General features: G+C 62.0%; 3 protein-coding genes across 15 annotated transcripts in view, besides 7 other annotated features; 1 reads left to right on the forward strand and 2 right to left on the reverse strand.

The window, feature by feature from the left end:
- Window positions 1-1,357: 1,357 nt before the first annotated feature.
- Window positions 1,358-11,265, reverse strand: RNF166 (ring finger protein 166). 10 transcript variants are annotated; one of them, XM_011522845.3, is made up of 8 exons: window positions 11,028-11,265; window positions 6,119-6,275; window positions 5,641-5,797; window positions 4,477-4,589; window positions 3,828-3,942; window positions 3,359-3,466; window positions 2,791-2,972; window positions 1,358-2,490 (listed from the first exon to the last, which is right to left on the reverse strand). In XM_011522845.3, the coding sequence occupies exons 1-8, from the start codon at window positions 11,180-11,182 to the stop codon at window positions 2,425-2,427; spliced, it is 1,053 nt and encodes a 350-aa protein (XP_011521147.1). In that variant the 5' UTR covers window positions 11,183-11,265; the 3' UTR covers window positions 1,358-2,424. The 10 variants fall into 10 exon arrangements, with proteins under 10 accessions (XP_011521147.1, XP_047289534.1, NP_849163.1 ...); XM_047433578.1 differs by lacking the exon at window positions 2,791-2,972; NM_178841.4 differs by lacking the exons at window positions 2,791-2,972; window positions 5,641-5,797.
- Window positions 5,375-5,454: an enhancer, noted in NCBI's record as "active region_11366". NCBI's record gives its function as "activates an Ori minimal core promoter by ATAC-STARR-seq in GM12878 lymphoblastoid cells {active_cell/tissue: GM12878}" and the evidence as "EXISTENCE:reporter gene assay evidence [ECO:0000049][PMID:35858748]".
- Window positions 6,405-6,464: an enhancer, noted in NCBI's record as "active region_11367". NCBI's record gives its function as "activates an Ori minimal core promoter by ATAC-STARR-seq in GM12878 lymphoblastoid cells {active_cell/tissue: GM12878}" and the evidence as "EXISTENCE:reporter gene assay evidence [ECO:0000049][PMID:35858748]".
- Window positions 6,485-6,544: an enhancer, noted in NCBI's record as "active region_11368". NCBI's record gives its function as "activates an Ori minimal core promoter by ATAC-STARR-seq in GM12878 lymphoblastoid cells {active_cell/tissue: GM12878}" and the evidence as "EXISTENCE:reporter gene assay evidence [ECO:0000049][PMID:35858748]".
- Window positions 10,740-11,377: an enhancer, noted in NCBI's record as "H3K27ac hESC enhancer chr16:88772291-88772928 (GRCh37/hg19 assembly coordinates)". NCBI's record gives its function as "activates a minimal SCP1, AML or CMV promoter by ChIP-STARR-seq in naive H9 embryonic stem cells {active_cell/tissue: H9 hESC(naive)}" and the evidence as "EXISTENCE:reporter gene assay evidence [ECO:0000049][PMID:30033119]".
- Window positions 10,740-11,628: a biological region, named in NCBI's record as "H3K27ac hESC enhancer GRCh37_chr16:88772291-88772928".
- Window positions 10,999-11,278: a silencer, noted in NCBI's record as "silent region_7870". NCBI's record gives its function as "represses an Ori minimal core promoter by ATAC-STARR-seq in GM12878 lymphoblastoid cells {active_cell/tissue: GM12878}" and the evidence as "EXISTENCE:reporter gene assay evidence [ECO:0000049][PMID:35858748]".
- Window positions 11,319-11,628: a silencer, noted in NCBI's record as "silent region_7871". NCBI's record gives its function as "represses an Ori minimal core promoter by ATAC-STARR-seq in GM12878 lymphoblastoid cells {active_cell/tissue: GM12878}" and the evidence as "EXISTENCE:reporter gene assay evidence [ECO:0000049][PMID:35858748]".
- CTU2 (cytosolic thiouridylase subunit 2) lies at window positions 11,360-20,253 on the forward strand. 4 transcript variants are annotated; one of them, NM_001318507.2, is made up of 15 exons: window positions 11,360-11,455; window positions 11,993-12,067; window positions 14,795-14,873; window positions 15,080-15,139; window positions 16,492-16,552; window positions 16,918-17,240; window positions 17,479-17,762; window positions 18,169-18,304; window positions 18,504-18,635; window positions 18,993-19,084; window positions 19,240-19,343; window positions 19,444-19,594; window positions 19,717-19,783; window positions 19,905-19,963; window positions 20,039-20,253. In NM_001318507.2, exons 1-15 carry the CDS (start codon window positions 11,388-11,390, stop codon window positions 20,106-20,108), a joined length of 1,761 nt encoding a protein of 586 aa, NP_001305436.1. In that variant the 5' UTR covers window positions 11,360-11,387; the 3' UTR covers window positions 20,109-20,253. The 4 variants fall into 4 exon arrangements, with proteins under 4 accessions (NP_001305436.1, NP_001012777.1, NP_001012780.1 ...); NM_001012759.3 differs by having other exon boundaries at window positions 17,131-17,240; NM_001012762.3 differs by lacking the exon at window positions 19,905-19,963 and having other exon boundaries at window positions 17,131-17,240.
- Window positions 20,195-20,789, reverse strand: part of PIEZO1 (piezo type mechanosensitive ion channel component 1 (Er blood group)) — a 69,883-nt gene continuing 69,288 nt past the window's right edge. The window contains exon 51 of the mRNA NM_001142864.4: window positions 20,195-20,711. Coding sequence (NP_001136336.2) covers window positions 20,462-20,711 — 250 coding nt within the window. The 3' untranslated portion in view covers window positions 20,195-20,461. The remainder of the gene's footprint in view (window positions 20,712-20,789) is intronic.

The raw sequence follows: 20,789 nt of genomic DNA on the forward strand, positions 1-20,789 counted from the left end.
AGCCCCAGCCAGTCCATGCCTCCCACAACATGCCGGCTCCTCTCCCTTCCCCAGGGCAGTGAGGTGCCGCTCAGTGACTGGAAGGTGCTTTGCCCTCCTCAGGTGAGGCGTAGAGACTTAGGCATCACCTCCCCGAGGGCTGCTGTTGAGACCACGGCCTGCCCAGACAGGGCCCAGAGCTGTCTTCAGCCTTCCTGGGCACCCAGGGTCATGCCCTTGTGACGGCTCCGTGTCACCCTCGGGTCAGATGTGGAGGCGGCTTGGACGTGGAGAGCTGCCCCCGTCGCTGCTCCTGCTGGGAGGTGGGTGGCGGGTAGGCTGCCCAAGGGGTGAGACAGGCTTGGCCAGTGGCCAGGTGGCGAACTGTCGGCCTCACTGGGCACCAGTCAGAGGCCCACGTGGCTCCGGGGGACACTGTGTCTTGAGCCTCCTTCTGGAAGGCCACAGGGAAGGGCAGGCTGGCAGGTGTCTCTGATGTTCCCTGGAGTTTGGTGCTGCCTGGTGAGGGCCTCCCAGACACAGGACCATGTCATCAGGGGTCAAAGAGTAGTGGGAAGGGGAGGTGGGGACTCCAGTGGCCCTTGGCGAGGGCAACTGGAAATCAGCCCTGCTCCCTTGGGGGTGTCTCCCTTCAAGTGACAACTGGCAGAGGCTCCTGTGTGTCCGGCCCAAGCTGTGGCCTTCAGGGTCAGGACAGCCACCTCCCCTGCGAGTAAGGAATCCAGAACAGAGGCTGGAAACACTCCTTAACTGAGTGCGGGAGGGAGGAGGCAGGAGGCAGTGACTGAGCTATAATGACCAGCTGCCCTGGGGTTGGCTGGCGAACAGGTGATTCTTGTTGGCCTGAGGCCCTTGGACACTGGAGAACAGGACATCCCATGGCCCTGGTGGTGGCCCCTCAGAGAACTACAGGCAGTTAGTGTAACACTCAGTATGCTCAGAAACCAATCCAGGAGGTGCTGAGGTGGCGCACACCTGTAGTCCCAGTGACACGGGAGGTCAAGGCGAGTGGACCACTTGAGCCCAGGAGATCGAGGCTGTGGTGAGCTGATTGCACCACTGCACTCCAGCCTGGGCAGCAGAGTGACACCCCACCTCTAAGAAAAAGCAAGCAGCCTAGGAGTCCGAACCCCAGCAGCCCTGTGGGTGTGGGAACAGGGTGGTCCTCTCTGAGGCAGGAGGGCCCAGTGCCAATGTGTAGGTGGCTCTGTGGGACCCTCCGTGGCTGAGTGAGGCTCAGGCCCAGGCTGTACCCCCAGCGTGAGCTGCCTGGGGAGGACACAGCCGACCTCCAACACAGACAGCAGCTGGCGATTCCACACCGTGGAGCACAAAAGCCAGTCGAGGCTGCTAGAGATGCTCTGAGACATTTTATTTAAACTTTTTTTTTTAAAAAAAAGACAGCAATAATTAATGCCAAGAACAGAAAAGAATGTTGACGTGTTGCCCGGCCCGCCAAGCGGGCCCCTGCCCAGGCCCCCAAGCTCTGCCACCACTGGGGTGCCGTCCCCTCCCGCAGCGGGGCACAGTCAGCTTTGAAGGTGACAGCGGGCCAAGGCCAGGACTCTGGGTGGAGGAGGCCCCTTCTCTGCCGGCCCCGCCTCTGCTGGGAGCAGCCACAGCCTGTGGCTGGGGTGCTGGGATTTCTTCCTGGTCATCAAAGAGAAACGTACAAACCTCAAGGACCCAGACACACAGTGGGTGGCCAGGGCAGACCCCACAGCAGACCCCATGGCTCGCCTGAGCTCTGGCAGCTGCCCCACTGCTCCTTCCATCCTTGCCCCAATCCCCCAATGCTTGTTTTGATTGTTTTCTTAAAAAATATAATTTTGTAAATGTTCCATAAAAATACTATTATTCCTAGTCAAACACAGATATTGCAATATGAAGAGTAACTGCTCTGTCTTTGCTCTATAAAACGTGAAAAGATTATCACACTGGATAATATAGAAAAGATGCCAGGGTTCCTAAGTATCACAAAAGCCAGTACCAAATGCGCAAGGTGGAAGTGGGGCCGGGGCAGGGTCGGGCTGGGCAGGGCAGCAGCCTGGGTTCCTCCCGGCTCGACTGCGGAGCGCGACTCGCGCGTCGGTCCCTTCTTCCCACGAGGGGGTATCATGGCTTTGAAGAGACGGCGGCAGCTCCAGGTCCCAGCGTCCAGCCCTGCCCAAGTAGGCCGCCTGCTCGGCCAGAAGCACCGAAGAACCCAGCGACGCCGGTGGGACCAGGCGGCCCTGCTCTGGCGGCCTCGGCGGCTGGCCCGTATTCAGGCCCGGAGGCTCGGCCCCGGCTCCCCTTCTGCGCGGGTGCAGGCTCCTCCTGTGAGCTCAGTCCGGTGAGGTGCGCTCCCGAGCAGGTGCCAGGTGCGACACAGGAGCGGGGACATCCCTGACCCCAGACGCAGGCGGGTGGCTGCGCTTCCCTTCAGTTCTCAGAGAGAGACAGGGCCAGAGCAGCCTGGAAGGCGGCCTCCTCGTCAATACTGTAGTCCTGGAGACAGGAAGGAGAGATGCACCGGGCTCGAGGGAGACAGGAAGGAGAGGTCCCCTCTGCCCATCACCCACACAGGCGTGTCCACCCTTCCTGCCTCCCTCCAGCAGGACACAGGAAGGACCCAGCTCCACTGTCCCCACAGGCTCGGGGCCTGCACGGTCCTCTGGGGGGTGAGAAGGTGAAGGTGTGTCCATCACCCGCTGGGTACGGGGGCACTCGGAATGGATGGCTGCTGGTTCAGGTCGGACTCTAAGCCCGGGGTTTCCGAGGTGAGCAGGCCGGCCAGGGCTCCCTGACCTCTAACAATTTCCATCCTGAGGCAGGCGGAGCGTGGGTCCCGGACGACTGGCAGAGGGAGTGACAGCCATCGCCAGGACTGTTAGCCAGGGCCAGGAATGAACAGGGCGGCGCAGGGAGGGGCCGCACCAGGAGTGAGGAGTTTGTGCGAGGGTCTGCAGGCCCGGGGGCCAGGTGTGTGCCTGACCCGCGGCGGGTGGGAAAAGGAGACAGGGCTGGAGTGTTCGATGTTGATGAAAGTCCTTCCCGCGCTCTCTAGAAAGCTTCCAGAAGGAAGCCTGGCTCACCCTCGAGGGGTTCTGTGGGGTGGGCAGGCAGGGACCTGCCCTGTGCGGTCCATGTCCCCGAGAGGCCTGGGCACCCTCTAGTGGCCACTCAAACTCAGCTGCCATCACTCCCCACCTGCAGGCAGCCCCCACAGAACCTGGGGGAATGTGGCCACCTGAAACGAGGCTTCTGTTTCTGGCTTCCTCTGAACCCTGCGGACCCTGAGGCTGGCGAGGGGCCCGAGCAGGAGGAGGGTGGATGAGGAGGGCGTGGGGGAGGACGGTGCTGGCGGGATGCCTACCACAAAGGTGTCGTAGGAGAACTTGTGTCGGTGAAGCAGGTGCTGCAGGAAGTTGGCGCTCTTGTAGCTGGGGTCCCCCCAGGGCATTGCCGAGCAGATGGGGCACACCTGGAACAGGCACTGGGGTCAAGCCGAGCCGGACCGCGGAGAGGCGGGGTAGCCGCAGTAGGACTGGGGGCCCTCCACTGAGCCCCGTCAGTGCTGCCTCAGCCTGGGAAGGCACCCCAGACCTGGAGGCGCGTGTCCCGGTGACAAGCGAGTTATTCAGTGCGCGTCACCCTGAAGGACTCATGGACACTCCCCGGTTTCCGCCAGGTGCTGCTCGGGCAGCCAAGTTCCCACCCTGGGTCCCAGGAGGCCTTTGTGGCCTGGGCACCCCCGGACTCGCCGCGAGCAGGCTCCTGGGCCTTGTACTGTCCCCCACAGGCCTCCCCTGGCGCAGGCGTCGCTTGGGGCAGGCACTGCTCACCACGCGGTTGGGGTCGCTGCGGTGGCTTTCCACACAGTGCTTCACCAGCTCCTGCTGGTCCAGGTTGCGGGCACCACAGTACGGGCAGGCGAAGGTGGACCTGTTGGGGATGTTGCTGGCGGGGCGGGGGTAGAGTGAGTGGCACGGCTAGGTGTCTAGGGGCTCTGCCTCCCCGCTTCTCTCAAACACAGGCGTGGCCCCAGGCCTGCCCTCTGTAGGCTGCAAGAGCGTGGCAGTGGCTGGGTGCCCCCCGTGCCTCTGCACGCCATGGCCTCCTGAGGACACACCCAGGACCCTCGTCCACCCCACACAACTAGGCCAGCCAAACGGCAGAGACTCTGCTGGCGCTGCCCTGGCAGGAGCCGTCTCTCGGCCCATCCACCTGCTGGGAGGCGATGTGTGGGCCCGGCCTGCGCCCTCCTCCTGCTCCCCACAGCTGAGCTGTCCCTACCCCAGGGGGCCTGGTGGGTATGCCAGGGAGGGCAGCACAGGAGCCTTCCTGCAGGGTGGCAAGGAAGGTCCACTTCCCCAGAGTGGACCCGGCCCCGGGTGACTCCCCCAGCCTCTCTGGGATGGGGCACTGCGCTTGCTCCCAGAACGAGGAAACCGCCGAGGACAGTTCCTCTCCCTTGCCCGGCAGCGTGCCTACCTGGGGATAGGCTGTGATGTGGGCACCACGGGGACGAACTTGGGGCAGTTGGCCATCTGCTCCTGGACCTTCAGGCAGGACGAAATGTGCACTCTCATCTTTGCCAGGGTCACCTAGGAGACAGGGCAGGGAGGGCAAGGCGGTCCTGAGAATCTGGAAGGGCCGTCCTGGGGAGGCCGAGACCTCAGGTGTCCAGGACCAGAGAACTGTAAGCAAGCGTCTGTGTTGCCAGCAGCAGGGGGACCCGGTCCCTTCTGCTGCTAAAACAATCTCAGGCACTGAGCAGCCACTACTCCATGGCCAAAAGCAAGTCACTGCAGGACAATCTGGCCGAGGGCAGAAACCTGGCTGGAGAAGGGTAGCGGGAAACAGGTAAGGAGATCTCTGGCGCCTGCAGGAGTTCAAATACTTGCTCCAGAAAAAGGAAGAGGCCAAGTGGAGGCCACTCAGAAATGCCCCAGGCTGGGGACAGACGCTTCGTGTGACTGAGGGGCAAGCTGGGGATGCTTCCGTGGAGGCAGGGCGCCATCCTCCACCCACAGCACACCCACTGTCCAGGGCAACAGGCTGCAAGATCGCAGGTGTCTGAGGCCCTCCTGGACTCAAGCTCGGCACCCAGCTCTGCCTAAGGGCTGCTGGACTCCGAGGGATGCACCACATTCCAGCAAGGTGCCGGGAGACACAGCCGCATCTGAAGACCCAGATTAGAGAACGGAGCTGCTGTGGGATACGGGAGGCCGCTCTGCATGTGACCGGTTCTGATCCTTTCTGGCTGCCCAGGAGAGAAGAACTCTGAGCAGGGAGAGACGGGAGGTGCCCAAGCACCCAAGACCACAGCCTGCTCAGCCGCACCACTCTGGAGTCCAGGGCAGCCCCTGGACATCTGGACCTTCGACCTCGAGGACAAACCACCGAGGGGCCACGTACTAGTGTGAGCGCTTCATAGAACTTATTCACCTGAGATGTGGCAACGTCGGGAAACGCAAATGCAAAATCACCTCTAGCTGCTCAGTCCTCCGGAAGCCACTGAAAGAACGGGGCGCTGGCTGGGGCCTCTCCACCCTGAAGCGGATGTGCCAGGGAGGGCCACGGGGCACGGGCCAGGCACCAGGACAGGATGGACATGGGGGCCAATGAGGCCCATGACAAGCTGCAGGCCCTTACGCTGCTCTGATGTGGGTGTGGCAGTGCCCATCAGCCCGGCTCTGGCCCTCCTGGCAGCTGGAGGGTGCTCGGCCCTTAGATGTCCTTGACTGTGCCCGCGGCCCTTGTGACCTTGGAGCCCCCAGCGCCGTCCCCGGTATCGGCTGGCAGGGGAAGGCTGCATTGGGAAGGTTTCAGCTCAGCCCCCTGGTCCTTACCCTGGCCACAACCCACGTGGGTTCCCCTGGCCCGGGCTAGGCGGCTCTGACAGTGCTACCCCCACCGGGCTGGCCCCCCCGTCAGCCGTCACCACAGGAAGTGAGAGATGAAGACGGGAGGGGAGGGAGGCGCCGGGGCTGGCTTCCTGGTGCAGGAGCAGAGACCGCGATTACTCAACAGGAAAGAGAGAGGGCCCCGGCCCCCACCCTCTGCAGAACCCGTGGGCTGAGGCTGCCCATCAAGTGACCCCGGCTCCAGGGCGGCCCAAGCAGGCGGGTACCTTTTTGTTGCAGCCTCGACAGGGCGCTTTGTAGGATGAGAGCTGCTTCTCCACGTGGGTGGCCTTGTCCACCTTCTTGGGGTCGAAGGGCAGGCGGCAGAGTGGGCACAGCGGGGATGGCACCTGCAGGCAGGGCTGGAGACACTCCCCGCAGAACCTGCAGGGCACAGGGGCCTGAGTGCCAGCCCGCCCCTCGGGTCTCCCGAACCGCAGGCCTTGCTCGGGGCCCTTCTTAGGACCCAGCATTTGTGGGGTCCACAGGGGCAGCTCCCCCTACCGCTGTCGCCGTCTCTGGAGATGGTCACTCCTATGTCCGGGGCCCACCAGCTGGATGGGCCCCATCTGGCTAAAGGGTGGCCCCGGTCCCTCCTGACAGTAGGCCCCTGTGGTTTCTGGCTAGCGGCAGAGCCGTCACTATGGCTGTCCCCGCGAGTGGGCCAGAGGAGCTCCCATAGGCAGGAGGCCCCAGCTCGGGCTACCAGGTTCACGTTCACGTGGCGACAACACCTGGGTGGGCTGTGGGGCGCAGGGACAGCCCGGGGACTCTGGAAACTCTCCCGGCTCCACACTCTGGGGGATAAAACCTCAAACAATCGTGGGAAAGGAAACGGCCAGGCCCCAGGGGCTCCAGATGCACTGGACAGGGAAGGGCCAAAGCTAGCCAAGTGGCAGCACATCCTGAGGCTGGGTGGCAGTCACCAGGCTTGGGACAGCTTCGCAGGCAGGAGGGGGTCCTGCTCCATCTGGGCGGAGGCTCGGGTCCTGGGCACCCATGGGCCCTGGCTCTTGGCACTGCCCCTGGGGACACCACATCGTGAGGACAGACTGAGCGTCCCACAGCCCCGTGCGCACTCCGGGCTCCAGCAGCAGGGGCTTCCTTGGGCTCGCACACCCTCCCGCTCTGCAGACGCACACAGCCCTTGGAGGGGTGCACCACCAGCCAGTGGGAGCACCAGGCGCGAGAGCCCCCAGTGCAAACACAGAGAAGGAGCTTAATACTGGGGCAGCCACATCTGGCCTTGTGAGGAGCACTGTGGGGACAGCTGAGCTGCGGCGAGGAGCTGGAACTGAGGCAGAGCCCCCCAGTCCCAGGAAGGCTACAGCACCCGGGGGTGTAGCTTCCCTTCTCCCTGGCAAGGCCACAGGGCTGGTACAGGAGCCCCACTGGACAGAGGGGCTGTGGGCAGGCCCTGGGTTCACAAACGACTCAGCTGAATTCAGGGCCAGAGTCCTCTTTGCTGTCAAGAGATTTCCACATCCCTCAAGAAAAGGCCCTTTCTGCAAGGAGGAAGTCTGAGGGCCTCAGGCAAAGGTGGCCAAGCAGGCATCTTAAGTCCCTCCTGCTGTCCCCCAGGCCCTCTTTGCCACCACTGGATTCCCACAGAGCCACCACCTGGCTGGTGGCTCCCACATGAAACTTCGTGTGAGAGAAAGCGGGACTCAGCTTGAGACCCGTCAGAAAGTGAACAAGCCTTTTTCTGCAGAGTAAAGAGGTCGCTCACTTTACCCACCTCACCCGAGTTCTCACCAGGCGCCCCAGCAGATATTTCCAGGGTCATCCCTGGCACTGACCCCTGGATTTGAGCCGGGGGGGCCGCCTACTTCACCCGTTCACGGGAGGAAGGTGCTGGCAAGATGGTCCACCTGGGGAGGCCTCAGGGGACCCCCATACTCAGGCACTCATGGCAGGAGAAGCGGAAGCAGCTCAGGTGCCCGTCGGTAAACGGATGAAGAGACGGCGTGGCGTGCACACCCATGGAAAGGGCGTTCGGCCGGGAAGAGGCGTGCAGCCCCACCACGCACCGGAAGGCCTGGAAAACAGTGCAGGGCAGACAGCAAGCACGTCCCACCCGTGTCGTGGGGGTCCACTCACGCTCAACGTCCAGCAGAGAGAAACCCAGTGACCAGAAAGCAGACGGGTGGGTGCCAGGCGAGGGGGAGAGTCCTGGGTTTCTTTCTGGAGTGGGAAGAATCTTCTAGAATTGCATCGATTGTTGCATAATTGCAAACACACTGGAAACGACTGGATGGTGCACCTCCTGAGTGAACCCTGAGCTGCCAGAGACCAGGCCGGGGCTCGGCTGCACAGCACGGCCACGGGCTGAGGGGAAGGAAAAGGGTCCCAGGCAGAGCTTGGGAAGAGAGGAAAGGTGCCCAGAAGGTTGGCTGGGAGGAAGACAGCCTCGTCCTCCCCGGAAGGACTCAGGAAAGACACAAGAGGGAACCCAGCCCGACTGGCAGGGCGGCTGGGCCCGAGGAGCAGGAGGCAGAACGAGGCACCCACAGGGTGGGTGCTCTATCGGCCTAGTTTCCAGTGACTGCCAGCCTGGTGTTCAGAGAGCCAGCAGCCGGGAGTAGTGCCCGCTTCCCCCACAGGAAGTTCCTGTCTGCGCCCACCCAGGGGCTGGTGCTGAGCAGCTTCTCAGCTGAAGGAAGTGGCTGAGGGCGATGGGTGTGGGGGCGTCGACAGCCTTACAAAGGGAGGGGCGATCGCGCACTGGCCCTCCCAGCAGGCACCCGGGACTGCCAATGTGTCTCCCACACTGGCCGCTGCACAAGCTGAGAAGCTGGGACGGCCCGTGCCTCAGGGATCTGCCTGGCTGGCAGGCCAGCACCCTCAGCAAGCCCCACAGCTGTCCTGCACGAGTGGAGGCTGCTCACACAGCCCTTCCAGGCAGGTTCGTGATCACGCGTGTCCTGGCCCACAGGCTTCTGGTTACAGAGGTGGCTCACTGCTCAGACTGTCCCCTGGCTGAGAACAGCTCCTGCTGGGCCCCCAGGGGGCCTCCTGCGCGAGGGCTAGAGCAGGGTGCATGCCCCCACACTGGGATACTCTTGCCATGAGAGATCTACCCTGGAGGAGGAAGTTGCTCTGGTTGGGGAGCTTGCGGAGGGGACAGAACCAGACCAGCAACAAACTTCCGAAGGGAACCTGAAGAGCCTTTAAACTTTCTGTGGTCATTTGCATGCATGCCTTAGCAACACCAACAAGAAACAAAGTTAGAAGCAGAGAGAGAACAGCCAGAAAACAAAAGCCAGCAGGAAAAGTCGGGGAGAAAAATCTTTGAAAGGCAAAGGCTGTGTGAAAAGCTCTTGCAGGACCCGCGGTGAGACTAGGATGGTCGTCATTCTACCAAGAAAAGCATGGCAGAGGGGAGTTTTATAGGAAAGATGCTCCACAATTCCATGTGGTTCTGCATTCTGTGTTATGGAAACTACATTTTAGGAAAAGACATATTTGAAAAAGAAGGGCAAAGACCAATTTGTGCAGGTTAGGAAAGTGGAGATGCTGTGGCCGACCACACGGTGAAGGTGTTGGCACCCAAAGCCTACGGGAGGCTTTTCTAAAACAAGGCCTAAGTCAAGCCTCACAGCGCTCAGTAACAGATGAGAAGGTGCGGAACACACCTTCAAACACCCGCTACCTGCTCACAAGAAGGAAGTCCTGCCAGGCGCGGTGGCTCACGCCTGTCATCCCAGCACTTTGGGAGGCTGAGACGGGCAGGTCACCGGAGGTCAGGAGTTCGAGACCAGCCTGGCCAACATGGTGAAACCCCTTGTCTACTAAAAATACAGCAATTAGCCGGGCGTGGTGGCGGGTGCCTGTAATCCCAGCTACTCTGGAGGCTGAGGCAGGAGGATCACTTGAACCCAGGAGATGGAGGTTGCGGTGAGCCGAGATGGCGCCACTGCACTCCAGGCTGGGTGACAAGAGCAAGACTCTGTCTCAAAAAAAAATATTCCCGTTCAGAGGCTGCCCCCCCAAAATGTCACGGCTAAGTGAGATGGAGGAGCAGGGGCAGAGCCTGTAGCAGCCTCACAAGAGAAGTAGGTAGAGCTGTCCCAGCGTGGGCAGGCGCCTGTGCTGCCTGACACAGGTAATGAAGGCAGCTCTGCATCCTGACACTGGCCCTGCCACCTCCGTGGGTGACCAGCACACATCCACCTAGCAGTCCCAGCTCCCTCTGTACCAGGAGCCCCTGAAGTCAGCTGACTTTGCTTGCAAAATGTTCTAGAGCCTCCTACCAGTCTGGGTGCACCCCCCTCCACTCCACCACCTCAGCAGCTTGGATGTCTGCGGGGAAGCCCTCCTGCTCTCTCTCTCCCCTGCCACTGCTGATTTTGCTCAAGAGCTGTATTATTCAGCACTTAGGAGGGAGCAGACACTGATCTAGGCTTCCTCCCAACGGGGCTGGCAGCTCCAGAATACTTGAGCACAGCTCCCCGCCAGGAGAGCCACGTCCTCCAGTTTCTGTTCCTGAAACACCCTGGAGGAGCCGGCTGTGAGCCCTGGTGCAGCTGGAAACCCCAGCAAGGTGGTCAGTGTCTGCTCCTCTGTGGACCAGCCTGCCTGGCTACTCAGTGATCGGTGTGACTCAAGTTCTCCTTCAAACAAAACTAAGAACATCAGACTCCAAACAAGCCCCTCTAAACTTTAGGGAACTCCTTTCCTCTGTAGTCAAAACAGGCAGACAGCGGGTCCGAACAAGAGTTGATAGCAAAAACTACAAGTTATTTATTTACAACTGCCCATTCCAGCCGCACAAGCCCAAATCCACCACCACTGGCGGAGCGGTGGCACCTGCTGCCCTCTGAGTACCGGAGCGCCCGCCGCAGCCGCCGGGGACCCCGAGCTTGGGCAGGGCCGCAGGTCGCCCGGTGAACCGAAGCAGCAGTCGGACCGGGCGCCTGCGGCTGGCGCGAAGGAGGCTGGGCGGGGGATGAACGCGCCCAGAGGGCAGAGGCGGCGCGGCACAGGGAAACCCGGACCCCACGCGCCCCGAGGCCCCGGCGCCCCGAGTCCCCGCGCGCCCAGTCCGGAGCTGCACCGGGGCGGCCGCCGGCCTCGCGACCCCTCCCGCGGCGGGGCACGGCCCCCTCCCCGCGGCCCCTGGGCGGGCGCGCTCACGTGTGGCCGCAGCTGCCGATGGCCACGGGCCGGTGATAGACCTCCAGGCAGATGGGGCAGGTGTACTGCGCCTCCAGGCCGCTGTCGCCGCCCGCCGGCCCGGCCGGCGGCTGCCGCTGCTGAGCCGAGGCCACCAGGCTGCGGAACATAGCCATCCCGGGGCCAGGCCCGCGCCGCCCGCCGCCCGCTGTCCTGGCCCGGGCCGGCCCGCTAGTCACAGCCGCTACTGCGCCGCGCTGACGTCATCGTAGGGCGCCGCCCCCAGCCGGGCTTCGCGGCCGTCACGGCGCCACTCCGACGTCATCGGGGCGCGCCCTCGCGCTGTCGCCGCCACAGTCTGCGACGGGACCCGGCGTGCCCATGTGTCAGGTGGGCGAGGACTACGGGGAGCCGGCGCCTGAGGAGCCGCCCCCGGCGCCGCGGCCCAGGTAAGAGCTGGCGGCCGGACCCGCCAGGCCGCCCCTCGCCTTCCCGCCGCACTCCTGCCCCGAAGGGTCCCGGCCGGGCTTGCTCCGGGAAGCCCCGCGTGGAGAGCGGGACCTCGCTCCCTAGCACTCGGGGAATGCCTGTCAAGCGGTGACGGCCACCTAGAAGGGGACTTACTCCACTGGCTCGCGCCTCTCATCCTAGCAGCCACTGGGGACGGCTCTGCCGCTGACAGTGCTGTCCTTATTCGGAGAGAACTGGTGCCGTGAAGCTGTCTCGCCTCCCCGTGTCAGCCTTGGGAGACTGAAAAGCGGCCTTTATGTGCCCCCTGAGCCGGCTTTTCTAGGCTAAACATCCCCCCAGAGCCTTTGTTTTTCTTGAAGTTTGGACAGAACACAAGCCTGGGTTTGTGTGTGTACCGAGGTGCCTTTCTCTGACCCAACTCAGGGTGAGAAACAGGAGCTGTCTCCCCAAAGCCCACTAGGCGTGGGGAAGATGTGATCTGTGTTTCTCTCTTCTCCCCCCTCCCATCTCCAAAGCCGTGAGCAGAAGTGTGTGAAGTGCAAGGAAGCGCAGCCCGTTGTGGTGATACGAGCCGGAGATGCCTTCTGCAGGTGAGGCCTGGAGGTGGCTGAGACCCTGGCAAACATGGCCTCGCTAGCAGACAGGATAGCCGCAACTTGTGATGCTTTGTTAATTCTTTTTAAAAACATGTACTTACTTTATTCCTGCTCCTGATGGGGTCCCTCGTGCCCCTGGTGTTGAAGTGGAGGCGAAAGCATTGGTTTCCTGCTTGGGAAAGTTTCCCATGAGCTAGCCACAGATCCCCTGATGAGGTTTCTGATGGAACTTATGGGGACAGTTGGAAGTGGGGCCGTGGTGTCTAGACTGGGATAAGCTGTAGGAGGACCAGGCGTTTGGGGGCAGCTGGAATACATCTAGGGGCGGATCAGAGCATCTTGGGAACTTGGCAGATGGTCTGGGTGAAAGTTTTTAATCTCGTGTGAGATGCTTGTTTCATCTGTGGCAGGATAGAGGCTTGGAAGACCTCTAGCTTTCCCCCAGGCGCTTGTCATGTCTTTCTTGGCTTGTAGCCATTGTATTGTTCAGTTGTTTCCACTAGACTCATAGCTCCCTGAAGGGAGGACCAGGTCTCTCTCCTTTTAGCCCTCTTAATTCCCAGTGGTGGTGCGTGGTTTTTTTGTTGTTGTTGTTGTTTTTTTTGAGATGGAGTCTCCCTCTGTCACCCAGGCTGGAGTGCAACAGCTGGAGTGCATGATCCCAGCTCACTGCAACCTTTACCTCCTGGGTTCAAGTGATTCTCCTGCCTCAGCCTCCTGAGTAGCTGGGATTACAGGTGCCTGCCATCATGCCCGGCCAATTGTTTTTGTATTTTTAGTAGAGACAGGGTTTCACCATGTTGGCCAGGCTGGTTTCGAACTCCTGACCTCAAGTGATCCACCTGCCTCGGCCTCCCAAAGTGCTGGGATTACAGGCATGAGCCACCACACCTGGCCAAGATAGGTACTTCTTTAACCACCCAGGAGCATCTGAAATTGCCAAGAACACCAGGCTGCCGGCAGAATTCACTGAGGAGAGGCTGCTGTGGCTGTATGCTAGGCCCTTGTGGCCAGAAGGGCTTTTGCTGTGCTTGCTGGTCCCAAGGAACAGTGGGGAGCCGGCTCTCTAGGGGAAGGCCTTAGGAATCTACATCGAGCTGGGATCCCCAGGGATCATTCAGGTCAGCACGTGGGAGAAACCTTGGCCTTCCCTGACCCACAGGGGACAGCGTGGTTTCAGGAGCCCAGACGCAGCATGTACACGTGGACCCACCACGCTTGAATCCCAGCTGGTGGTGTAGGGCGCAGAGGCTCTCCTGGTCCACAGTGCGGAGGTGAAGCCCAGCACCTGTGTCTCCTTGTATGAGACTCCCCACGCCCAAAGCTGGGTCCTGGGGGTCACTTCCCATGTCCCAGCCTTGATACTTGCCAGTTACCTGCAGTCCCTCACCTGGCATCTTGCTGTTAAACACAGACTTGCTTTACTGTCTGTAAAGGAACCACAGGGGGGTCATTCGGCCTCTTGTACGTGGTATCCATTCAACGTAGGGAGGGACTGCTGTGCACATCAAGTGTGTCTGACAGGAAGGAAGAGACTTAGAGCCCCAGGTGCAGGGTGACTCTTGCAGTGGCATTGTCCGCTCTGTACCGGGTGCTGCTCTTCACCCTGCCTGCCAGGATTGCAGGAGAGCTTTAAAATGCAGACTCCTAGGCCTCACCCCTAGACAATTTGACTTAATTGGTTTGTGCAATTCTAACATACAGCCAGGGCCAAGAACCCCTGACGTAGTGAGCCAGAGTCAGATGGCTGGAAAGTTTATTATGAACAAAGATTACAGCTGGGCGCAGTGGCTCATACCTGGAATCTCAGCACTCTGGGAGGCCCAGGCAGGAGGGTCACTTAAGGCCAGGAGTTTGAGACCAGTCTGGGCAACAAAGTGAGACCTTGTCTCTACAAAAAATACAACAATTAGCTAGGCATGGTGGCATATATCTGTAACCTGTAGTCCTATCTACCTGGGTGGCTGAGGCAGAAGGATCACATGAATCGAGGAGTTTGAGGCTGCAGTGAGCTATAACTGTGGCACTGCACTCCAACCTGGGTGACACATCGAGACCCTGTCTCTTAAAAATGCAGTTCCCAGGCCTGGAAGTTCTGATTCTGTGGGGTTAGGGGAGGAGCCCAGGCCACTCTGTGAGTGAGCCTCTTAGCCATTCCTGGCCCAGTTGAGCCCAGCACACTAAAGATGCCAGCTCTGGGGCCCCAGGATACTGAGCCCTCGCTGTGGCCCACCCCATTTCCGCACTTCACCCCAAAGAGGTGGTGTCTCTGCATGGTGGGTCCTCGCTGTGGCCCGCTCCATTTCCACGTTTCACCTCCAAGAGGTGGTGTCTGTATGTGGTGGGTCTTTTTTTATGGGGTCTGGGTTGGCCTTGCCCTGTACGTGCCTAAGTCTGTCCACTCCACCAGCTGGGCCCTTCTGAGCGCCTGTGGGGAGGGGTGCCGGGGCTCTGCCCTCGTTTGCTGGATGCAGCCTCCGTGGCTGTGCAGTTTGTACCTGGTCGTGGGAGGGGCCGGTGAGCCTCGTGTTCACCCTGAGGAAGCCACTGCCAGAGGGGCCAACCCCGCCCCTTTCACCAGTCTCTGGACAGAGCCTGGATGTGAAGATGCTGCTTTTAAAGATGGAGATTGGCAAAGGACGTCGTCACCTGGCAGCGCCTCAGGACGCTGCTCACTGTGCGGGTAGCAGGCGGTTCCCTCATCTCAGGTCTGTGTTGCAGGGACTGTTTCAAGGCCTTCTACGTCCACAAGTTCAGAGCCATGCTGGGCAAGAACCGGCTCATCTTTCCAGGCGAGAAGGTAGCGTCTGGGTCCTGGGGGTCTGACTGAGCAGCCTGGCCCCTCGAGGTCCCTGCTTGTCCCTCCCACAGGCAGCCTGGCCTGCTGCAGCCCGCCAGCTCCTCCTTGGCCTTTGAGGACAGACTCGATGTCCTAGATGTCCACGAGGTGGGGTGTCTGCCTGTGTTGGAGGTGCGGTGCCCTGAGTGATGTTTTTTCTCCCCCAGGTGCTCTTGGCGTGGTCTGGGGGGCCTTCGTCCAGCTCCATGGTCTGGCAGGTTCTTGAGGTGCGTGTTCACCACCCCGTGGGCCCGGGCTGCTGGGCTGAGCTTCAGGCTGGGGGCCTCCCTTCTCAGCCTGCTGAGGGGCTCTTGGTTGGGGCTAGAGAGCAGTCCACCCTGCGGCCTGGACACTTGGGGGGTTCTCAGATGTGTTCACAACAGGTGCACCAATCAGGAGCTGAGTCCACAGTGTGTGTGTGCGGCCCACTCTCAGATGTGTTTACAGCAGGTGCACAAATCAGAAGCTGGGTCCACAGCGCGTGTGTGCGGCCCACTCTCAGATGTGTTTACAGCAGGTGCACAAATCAGAAGCTGGGTCCACAGTGCGTGTGTGCGGCCCACTCTCAGATGTGTTTACAGCAGGTGCACCAATCAGAAGCTGGGTCCAGAGTGCGTGTGTGCGGCCCACTTGACTTCTGTCCATTTGCTCAACCTGCGTAGAAACACAGTCAGTGGAAAGCTGCATCTTGGCTCAGCCATGTGTGACCCGAGGGAAGATTGGGAAAGGGGCGGGGGTTTGCCAGGAGAAGCAAAGGGAGCAGCGTTTGAGGTGGAGGCGGCGGCCCGCGCAGGGAGGTGGAGGCGGGCTTAGGCTGCACACAGGGCTCGGCTGGGGGTGGTGGGGCTGTGCCCGTGGCCTGTCAAGGGTCAGCTCAGGAAGTCTGAGGCAGGTCGGGCTTCTCAGGAGGGCACAGGAGCGGGATGTGCTTGGTTTCTCTGCACTCTCATGAGAGGTGCAGACCGGAGGAGGCTGTTTCTGTGGGCTGGGTGGTTGAGAGGAGAGGGGTCGGCTTTGCCGGGTTGAGGAGTGGGGTGTTGGTCTCAGGATGGGCGCATGGCACAACACTGCTGAAATTAGTTTTCTGTTTTCTGAGGTCCCCTGAACCTGCCAGGAGGGTGTTGTGAGGGAACTGGCCCAGCCCTCTGTGTAACGCTGGTGCTGCCCTTCCTGTGCCCAGCGGCGCCCCTGCCTCTTGCAGGCTGTTGGTTTCTGCTTGTGAGAGCAAGTGCTTCCTTAGTGGTCAGAAGCGTGTGGGATGGTGGCACAGTGGCCCCGTAACCCAGCCCCCTCTCCTGGGGCGTTGTTGGGACATCCAGGACCAGCTGGTGAGGGGCATGTTTTACCAGGGGGATGAAGACCCCCAGGCTACCCTTTAAAATAAGTCGGGCGTGCGGCCTCGCCTACTGGGCCTGCCCGGCACCTGAGTCTGAATGGCTTTGTCCAATAAACGCAATGGCAGGGGAAGACCACTTCACCTTCCAAGATGGCATTAAATCCAGATGAAGAATGTTCTGAGCTGGAAAAGTGTCCTGTGGCTTATGGCTGGGGGCTGAGTCCCTGCTGCTTCTCCCTCTAGGGCCTGAGCCAAGATTCTGCCAAAAGACTGCGCTTTGTGGCAGGAGTCATCTTTGTTGACGGTATGTGGGGCCATTGCTCCTCCTAGTCCCTGGCCACTTGGGGTAAGCCCTGCGGATCCTCCCTCTGGTGTGGACCCTCCCTCTGGTGCCGGTCCTCCCTCTGGTAGGATGTGTTGAGCTACTGGTGCTGCCCCTGCACTGAGGGCCTGGTGGGGACATCTCCCTGAAGGAGGCAGCAGATGTATCCATCGTTAGGTGGCATCACTGTTCCTGGAATCTAAGAACATCCTTAGAAAGTCGGGGGTGGGAGCAGGAGTGGCGGCTGCCCAGCCCCCATCACGGGGTCTGGGGACAAAGAAGGGCAAGTTAAGTGCTGATGGTGAGCGGGGGCCCAGGGGCCGACTCCCCGACCCTTGCTCCTGCAGAACGAACTCCTGGGGTGTTGACTGTAGCGCTGAGGTCAGCCGCAAGAGAGAAACCCCTGCCCAAAGGAAAATGGCCGACACCCCACAGCTCCGCCAGGAAGCACCGCCCTGCGGAGCGAGGCCTCGAAGGGTTTTCCCAGGTGGAGGTGGCCCTGCAGCCTGCCCTGCCTGGCTCCTCTCTGAGCCCTGACTCTTTCTGCCTGGGTTTTTCAGAGGGAGCAGCCTGTGGCCAGAGCCTAGAGGAGAGATCAAAGACCCTGGCCGAAGTGAAGCCCATTCTGCAAGCAACTGGGTTCCCATGGCATGTGGTGGCCTTAGAGGAGGTGGGAGGGCTGTCCCTGGAAAGGGGTCCCGGAGGTGACCCCTGGGGGGCACCTGCCCGTGTCCCAGCCTCACTGGCCTCTCCCTCATCCCAGAAGGCGGGGCTGTCGGTGGGGGGTGGGAGGCACCTGCCCGTGCCCCAGCCTCACTGCCGTCTCCCGCATCCCGGAAGGTGGGGCTGTCTGTGGGGGGCACCTGCCCGTGTCCCGGGCCTCACTGGCGTCTCCCTCATCCCGGAAGGTGTTCAGCCTGCCACCGTCGGTGCTTTGGTGCTCTGCCCAGGAGCTGGTGGGATCCGAGGGGGCCTACAAGGCGGCCGTGGACAGCTTCCTCCAGCAGCAGCATGTGCTGGGGGCCGGGGGTGGTCCTGGCCCGACTCAAGGGGAGGAACAGCCACCCCAGCCCCCGCTGGACCCCCAGAACCTGGCAAGACCGCCTGCCCCTGCCCAGACTGAGGCTCTTTCCCAACTGTTCTGCTCAGTGAGGACACTGACTGCCAAGGAGGAGCTTCTGCAGACCCTGCGGTGAGGCCCCGAGAGCCCCCCTTCCCCGGGCCCTGACCCCCACTCATGCCCCTGAGAGCCCCCTTCCCCGGGCCCTGACCCCCACTCATGCCCCTGAGAGCCCCCCTTCCCCGGGCCCTGACCCCCACTCATGCCCCTGAGAGCCCCCCTTCCCCGGGCCCTGACCCCCACTCATGCCCGAGAGCCCCCTTCCCCGGGCCCTGACCCCCACTCATGCCCCTGAGAGCCCCCCTTCCCCGGGCCCTGACCCCCACTCATACCTGAGAGCCCCCCTTCCCCGGGCCCTGACCCCCACTCATACCCCTGAGAGCCCCCCTTCCCCGGGCCCTGACCCCCACTCATACCCGAGAGCCCCCCTTCCCCGGGTCCTGCACCCCCCAGGCCCCTGAGACGCTCTGTGCTTTAGGACCCACCTGATCCTCCACATGGCCCGAGCCCACGGCTACTCCAAGGTCATGACTGGGGACAGCTGCACACGCTTGGCTATCAAGCTCATGACCAACCTGGCGCTGGGTCGAGGGGCCTTCCTGGCCTGGGATACGGTAGGCAGGGGCCTGGGTGTTCAGGAGGCCCATCCTCACCTTCACCCCTTCGGCCACCTTTACTGGAGAGTAGCCTCTCGCGTATCAGTCCTGCGGCCTCGGATGGTGGTGGGGTCTGTGACCTCCCCTACCTGGCAGGGGAGGAGGGGCAAGCACATTCGGGCCTTGACCTGGACCACACAGCCCCTGCCTCCCGCAGGGCTTCTCGGATGAGCGGCACGGGGACGTGGTGGTGGTGCGGCCCATGCGGGACCACACCCTGAAGGAGGTCGCTTTCTACAACCGCCTGTTCTCCGTTCCTTCTGTCTTCACACCAGCCGTCGACACCAAGGTGGGCCTTGTGGGCTGGGCAACCTCTCTCACCATTGACACCGGGGTGGGCCATGTGGGCTGGGCAGCCTCTCACAGGCTCAGGTCACCAGCACACCTTCAGTGACTCCTGCTGTGGCCCCCAGCAGTGCTGCATCCTCTGAGCCCACCCTGTGCCGTGAGGGTGTGGGGGTGACAGGAGGACCCCACAGTGGGTGCACTGCTGAAGCGGGTTCTCTGGCTGCCTTGAGCAGTCGCAGCAAAGCCAGACCCATGTGGGCCAGCAGCGTGGAACCCACGGCACCTGTCCTGGGGACTCTGCCCCAGCCTGGGGCTGGCCTCTGGGCTTTCCCATAGCCTCCAATCTGATTGTCCCTAGGCCCCTGAAAAGGCCAGCATCCACCGGCTGATGGAGGCCTTCATCCTCAGGCTGCAGACCCAGTTCCCCTCCACTGTCAGCACTGTGTACAGGTGTGGGTGTGTGTGGGTGTGTGCGGGGGGTGCGCGGGTGTGTGCTGTGCGCGGGTGTGTGCGGGTGGTGAGCTCACCACTCGTGCTCAGGCCAGGGCTTAGGGTGGAGCCCCAGCCCGTGTGATTCACCTGCTCCTCCCACAATCCGGCCACAGGACAAGTGAGAAGCTGGTGAAGGGCCCCCGGGATGGCCCTGCTGCTGGCGACTCCGGCCCCCGCTGCCTCCTCTGCATGTGTGCCCTGGACGTCGACGCCGCTGGTCTGTGTTTCATGCTCTTGGGGTGATGCGGGGAGGGAGCCAGGGAGTGGGTGTGGGGGCTCAGCAGCCCCAGGCTCCGTCACCCCCTCTCTGCTTGCAGACAGTGCCACGGCTTTTGGGGCTCAGACCTCCTCGCGTCTCTCCCAGATGCAGTCACCCATCCCCCTGACTGAGACCCGGACACCCCCGGGGCCCTGCTGTTCTCCAGGGGTGGGCTGGGCCCAGCGCTGTGGCCAGGGGGCCTGCAGGAGGTGAGTCCCTGTCCCTGCCACCCATGGCCAGCTGCATGGGGCGGGAGGGGGACCTGTCCTTACCCCACACTGCACGGCATTGAGGTGCCAAGGTGGGCACACAGCCAGCTCTGCTCCCGCAGGGAGGACCCCCAAGCCTGCATTGAGGAGCAGCTGTGCTACAGCTGCCGCGTGAACATGAAGGACTTGGTGAGTACGTGCCCACCTGTCCTGGGCCGGGCTTGGGGACGCGGGAAGGCCGTCACCTCGTGGGTGGCTTGAGGGGGTGCTGGCAGGTTTCTTGGCCCCTCGACACCGGCCTCTGTTGCAGCCCTCACTGGACCCCCTGCCGCCGTACATCCTGGCTGAGGCCCAGCTCCGCACACAGAGGTACTGGGGCCCACACTGCCGTGGCGCGTGGGTAAGGGGCCTCGGGGCTGGTGCCCACTGCAGCTTTCTCTCTAGGGCCTGGGGCTTGCAGGAGATCCGGGACTGTCTGATTGAGGACAGTGACGACGAGGCGGGCCAGAGCTGAGCGTGAGGACGTGCTTGCCGGGACAGCAGGCAGTGGCCACCTGGTACACCACACTGGAGCCGGAAGGCAAGGACGGGGGACTGGCCTCTGATTGTCCATTTGTATAAATAAAACATTTTTTAATTAAAAAAAAAACTCTACAGTACACGTGGGGGACGGCAGCGCCACGCAGGCCGTGGGGACGCAGTGTCCTTCTCTGACAGCAGCATCAGGGCTCAGGCAGGCCGGGAGGATGCATCACAGCTGGCGGCCTTGGACGGGGCAGTGGCTCCCCCGGCCTGAGGAGTGCCGCCCCTTGTGGCCACGCTGCCCAGCAGGCCGGCTCCTTCCCTCTCGGGCGCCAGCAGCAGCTCCTACTCCTTCTCACGAGTCCACTTGATCATGGTCTCCGGTGAGCGGTAGAGGAAGATGAGCTTGGCGTACAACTCCTCCTCCAGCTCCAGCTCCCGAGTCTCCCGCACCAGGAAGATGTCCTGGCAGAGCTTGAGGATGCGGTCCACGCACGGCAGCTCCTCGAACATAATGGAGTGCGAGATCTCGCTGAAGAATCCGCGCACGAACTTGCCGATGACCAGCACGATGGACACGTACAGCCCCATGATGCTGCGGGGGAAGCTGGTGAGTCCTGGGGCCGCCCGGAGCCCCCCGAGCTGCGGGGTGCCCCCCCAGCCACTCACTCAC

Source organism: Homo sapiens, chromosome 16, assembly GCF_000001405.40.
Source record: "Homo sapiens chromosome 16, GRCh38.p14 Primary Assembly".
In the NCBI taxonomy this organism is placed as follows: Eukaryota; Metazoa; Chordata; class Mammalia; order Primates; family Hominidae; genus Homo; species Homo sapiens.